Genomic DNA, 6040 nt, shown 5'->3' on the forward strand with positions numbered 1-6040 from the left:
CTCCGTTTAGATCCAGGAAGTCAAGTGCATTCTCTTATAGAAAGCAAACAACAATATCACACCAAAGTAATAGTAGGAAATCCATGTAAGCCAAAAGAGGGAGCAACTGGAAAAATAAAAATAAAATTCAACACTTTTAATATTAAAAATAAATTATCATATGTTAGTAGTAAACTATTCTTTATTATTCTGTGTTTTATAAGTATTCTTTTTGGTAAATGCTATTTTCTTTCCTACATTTATTACACTGAACACACATTGACTTTTATTGAAACTCATTTCTGAAATATTCAACTTGTAGACAAATTATTATTGAACTAAATGGCTATATAAAAAAGATGTAGCATATTAATAATTCAGCCTTTGAATTATGTTCCACTGACCCTAATAAGCCACCTGTTTTTATAAACAAAACAACAACAACAAAAAGTAATTCAATGATTTAATGGAACATCTCTAATAATTGAAAAAAATTTAAAGAAAAAAAGTAAAATAGAATATAATTAAAGGTAAGTGAAAGAGTCTTTAAAGAATGCCCATTCTTACATCTTTTATTTGGTGGCGCTATAACAAAACATAATAGCATCACATACTTTAAAAAACAAAACTTAAGGATCACATGTAAGCACTTGGACAAAAGTGACTTATGTATGAACCTCACAAGTGCTTCAACTATCAGGTTTAGACAGACACGGCTAGAACTGGAAATTGGCCAATAAAAGTATAAATTCAATTACATCACTTTGAAACAATTAAACTTGCCTGATCACTTTGACTGTGACAGAGAAAGCATTTGCTGTAGTAATATTAGATCAGTGAGAGGCAAGACAGTGCAGCATGAGGTAAAAGACCGATTTAAATTTTGCCTCAAGGTCTAGAGGGACTTGCTTTCATTTGCTAGAAATAAGCAAAACACAAGAAGGTTTAGTGTCACATATAAACAGCTATCAATCAAGATCTCTAGCTAATGCCAATAGACCTTAGGGGAAAGTTAAATGACTTGTACGCAACACAATGCTTACTGAAAGAAGAAAACCACAGCATGATAGAAAAAATAATATTTCATTTTTATTAAACCATTTATTGTAAATGATAAAATAATAGCAAAGATTTAATAGGAAAAAAGTCTGTTCTTTGAATTAAAGCATTTATCTTTCTTCTTTCAGGAAAACATAAGAAGTATACATTTATCCTGACATTTTGAGCTCCAAAAAAGCATTTGGTCAAGTGTTTTTGGTTGAATGTCTTGGCCTGAGCTATTAGGAAATTAATTTGATAATTTATTTTTAATGATGCATCACTAACCTGAATGCCTTTGTGCTTGGATGAACCAACACATTTCTACAAATTGAACACAGCACGATTTCCTTTTCAGATTTCCCTATATAATAACTATTTGAAAAAGGTTTTTAACTCTCAATGCTTTAGCCAATGTAATGTTTAATTAAATTATTTGACTAATTTTTCATTTTAGCATTATTATAGGTTCCTCCTCTTCGTGAAACAGTTTTATTCTCTCAGTTCACTAATATCTTCACAATTGCAGCACTGACACTAAGCAAAACTGATCCCCTTAAAACCACATCCTTCCTTGTCTGGGCTTTCACAGGAGTGTTTTTTTCAAGCATTCTCCTCTTACTTAACGTATCCCTTTTGACCTCTTATCCTACTTCTCTTTCTCTTGTCACCTTGTAAAACAGTATTCTCCACATTCTAAGACCATTCTTCTATTCTTTATTTCTCTTAGTGATGTCATACTTTTCATTTTGTGAGAATGAAAGTCAATGCCTCTATCCCACCTCCCTCCCTCATGCTTCCACGTTCCGTCTCCCAATGCCTGATAGACATTTGTCAGGAGATGGTCCTCTGGAACCTCAAACTAACTATATCATAAACAAATTCCATTTCTAGTCCATAGCTTTTCCCTTCATTACTTCATTCCACAAAACAATCTTTGAATACCTAACATGTACTGGCTTTCGTCAAGACCAGAGAACATCAAATATTTCTTATAAAATCCAGATAGCAAATGTTTTAGACATTGTAGGCCATATGTCTCTGTTGCAACTATTCAATTCTGCCATTTTAGTATAAAAACAACAATGTGGACATGGCCATGTTAAATAAACCCACCTATGAATGCAGAAATTTAAATTTCATATCATTTTCCTGTATCATGAATTCTTGATCATCTTTTGATTTTTGTCAACCATTGTTATCTCAGGATACTGAACCCTATTGCAGACTGGAATTGACACATGGACACAGTTTGCTGACTACTGTGGTAGATACTGGAGATTCAGCAATAAATAAGAAAGCTTATTTAGAAAGAAAGCTCAATAATCTTAATTTTGAAAAGAATCTCCCATTTGTATGCCAATATTGACTTCTGGTCACACAGCAACCTATGTCAGGTTTATTACTTATTACTTACTATAACCCACTCAATCATCAAGTAAGTAAAAAAAATCTTCTAAATATTAACCTCTGCTTTGTAACACTTTGCATACTCTCAATGTCCATATTCAAATGTTTTTATTTATAAATAGTTGAAAATATTTTGTATTTCAAGATTTCATTTTTATTTTTTCCACTTTGCAATTTTTATATTGGCATTATCTTCCTCAATATTTTTAAAGCAGCTTTATTTAAGTATAATGGACACACAATGAATTACACATGTTTAAAGTATACATATTGATCTTTTTAAATTCATGTATCAATTTAAACAACAATTTTGAGACATAGTTCACATATCATCCAAGTCACCCTTTTAAAACATACACCTCAGTTGTTTTTAGTACTATATTCTCAGAGTTGTACAACCAGTACTACCATCAAATTCACAATTAGATAACCCCCCAAACAAGCCCAAAACCTATTAGCTATTACTCTCTGTTCCCTGATGCCCTCATGCCTTGCAAATACTAATTTACTTTTTGTGTCTATAGATTTCCCTCTTCTGAATATGTCATATAAATCACACAATATGTTGCCTTGTTTTTTCTGGCTTCTGTTGCTTAGGACAATGTTTTCAAGGATCATCTACATCGCAGCTGGTATCTGTACTGGTTCAGTATTCCCTATTTGAAATGCTTGGGACTAGAAGTGTTTTAGATTTCAGATTTTTTTTCAGATTTGGGAATATTTGCATATACCTGGTGAGATATTTTGGGGATATGATCCAAGTCTAAATGCAAAATTTATTTATGTTTCATATACACCTCATATCATGGCCTAAAGGTAACTTTACATAATATTTTAAATAATTTTGTGCATGAAACAGTGTGTGTATGTTGATCCATCAGAAAGCAAAAGTATCACTATCTCAGCCACCCATGTGGACAATCGGTGTGGTATTTTTGGCATCACCATCATTCCTGACTCTGATTTTATATGGTACCTAGAAGCAAATTATTTTCTCACCCTTATCTAAACATAAGTACTTAACAATAAAAAATATGGGCCGGGCACTGTGGCTCATGCCTGTAATCCCAGCACTCTGGGAGGCCGACATGGGTGGATCTCCTGAGGTCAGCAGTTCGAGACCAGCCTGACCAACATGGAGAAAGCTCATCTCTTCTAAAAATACAAAATTAGCCAAGCGTGGTGGCGGGAGCCTGTAATCCCAGCTACTCGGGAGGCTGAGGCAGGAGAATCACTTGAACCTGGGAGGTGGAGGTTGCAGTGAGCCGAGATCATGCCATTGCACTCCAGCCTGGGCAACAAGAGAGAGATTCCTCAAAAAAAAAAAAAAAATGACATGTCATCTACACAGGAAAAAAAAAAACATGTTCAGGGTAAATAAGCAGCAGAGTAGCATCATCAGAATACCTGCATCAGCTGTTAAACAATAACAACAATAAACAATGGCGGACTTTCAGTCTCCACCTACAATGCCGTGTTTTCATTGCAAGGTTACCGTACACTACATTTTGTTTTTAGGTGAGAAGAAACGTCAGAAACAGTTGTGGGACCAGGAAGTGGACCCTCTAGGGATGAGGAGGCATTCTGATCAATGGCTTCTTAAAATGCTTCATCCAAAGTCGTTTGCCTCATTAACAATCGTTGTTGTCTTAGAAGTTTCTCTTTGATTGCATAAACTTACATGATTTCTGGTCCTGTTATGAATACACACTGCTCTAGTCTTTCCATAAGGCCATCACATATTTTCACCATGTCATCTATAGACCCTTTTTCTGCAATGTTAACAACATCATCTTCATTGTCACAATTATCACTATCACTGTAATCCAAAACCATTTTGGCTATTTCACCATCTATGAGTGACAACTAGAGCTTCATTAACAATGTTAAACGTTTTTCCTCCAGGTGCGGTGGCCCGTGACTGCAGCCCCAGTATTTAGGGAGGCCAAGGTGGACTTGAGCCCAGGTGTTTGAGACCAGGCTGAGTATCATGGAGAAACCTATCACTACAACAAATAGAAAAACTAGAAAAATTAGCTGGGTGTGGTGGTGCATGCCTGTAGTCCCAGCTACTTGAGAGGCTGAGGAGGGAAAATCACTTGAACTCAGGAGGTGGAGGTTGCCAGGAGCCAAGATCATGCCACTGCACTCCAGCCCCTGGGTGACAAAGCGAGAGCCTGTCTTAAAAAAAAAAAAAAAAAAGTTTTTCAATTATCCACTTCAGCTTACTGATGGACTCTGAAAGTATATATTTTTGCATATGTAAGGAAATCAGACATCATTTTTTTCCACTTGACCTCCAGAATTCTTAAAGTCACCACCTTATTTGTCATCACTGAACACACAGGCCAAAGGTTTTGCCAGGCATGCACAACTGTCTTTAGTCACTGCATTCTAAGCCCTGGCAACAGCTTATACAGCATTCTTTATGCCAAATTTATTTTGGAAACCTCCCACATCCACACCTCAGTTCAATGCTGCTGGAGTTCTTTTCAAGATAGTGTTCTCATATTTACTCTTCATTGATCTAAGAATACCCTGATCCACATGACTGAATTAGTAAAGCCACATTTGGGAGAAAGTACACAGCATAAACGTTCTTTTTGATGAGAATTTCAGCTGGAGGGTGAGCAGAGCAGTTATCAAGGAATAATAAAATCTAGCAGTCATCATCTAGTCCAGCTTCCCTGCAGTGACCACAAGCTGCTGACACAAAATGTTTGTAGAACCAATCAGAAAAGATGTTTCTGGTGATTTATGAGTTTTGTTAACATAATAATGAACGAATAAGAAAACAGAGGACCTAAGCTTTTGCCTATAACAGTAAATTTAAACTTATGTGTGTCTGCTGCATTAGCACATCCCAGCACAGTTATATTGTTCTTGGCATCCTTAATTCCTGTAGGAACTGTCTCATCAACTGTATTCAATGTCTTTCTGTGGCAATAATGCCAAAACAACAATGCTTCATCAGCATTACGGATTTATTTTGGCATCAGATTTTTATTAGCGATAACCTTGGCTAACTCATCAATAAATTTCTCCACTGCTCCATGATCAACAGATGTTTTATTACCACAAACCTTTAAAAATTGAATGCCATTTTTATAAGTTTCTATCACGAGTCTATTGAACATTCAGTTTCCAGTTTATTGTAATAGACCTTTGCTTGTTTCATTTATTGTAATAGACCTTTGCTTGTTTCATTTATTGTAATAGACCTTTGCTCGTATCATTAAGTGGAATGTGTTCACTGTGATACTGACAAATTCACTCTTGCAATACACAATTGAAATCTTCATTTTTAACTTTGTGCAGTCTTTTAAAGAATCAACTTTGATTAACTTTCAGCATAGAATTTCAACAATTTATCCTTCTGTTTCTTCAGGTTATATATGGTGGTCATTCCAACACTATACTCTTCTGTAAGATGTTTCATGCTTATACCACTGTCTAGCTTCTCCAACAACTGGACTTCCTGTGCTATCCATAAACAAAGGCATTCTCTTTTTCTTATTACTGTTACCCACAGAGGTATCTCCGGGCCTTGCTGGTATTTTCAACAATACCCTTATGCCACAGAACAAAGTATAAGCAAAACAAAACACTGTAA

At 35.3% G+C, this 6040-nt stretch overlaps 1 annotated feature.

The window, feature by feature from the left end:
• Window positions 4623-4823: a silencer, noted in NCBI's record as "peak3091 fragment used in MPRA reporter construct". NCBI's record gives its function as "represses an SCP1 promoter by STARR-seq MPRAs in K562 erythroleukemia cells {active_cell/tissue: K562}" and the evidence as "EXISTENCE:reporter gene assay evidence [ECO:0000049][PMID:32103011]".

Source organism: Homo sapiens, chromosome 18 (genome assembly GCF_000001405.40).
Source record: "Homo sapiens chromosome 18, GRCh38.p14 Primary Assembly".
NCBI classification, from domain to species: domain Eukaryota; kingdom Metazoa; phylum Chordata; class Mammalia; order Primates; family Hominidae; genus Homo; species Homo sapiens.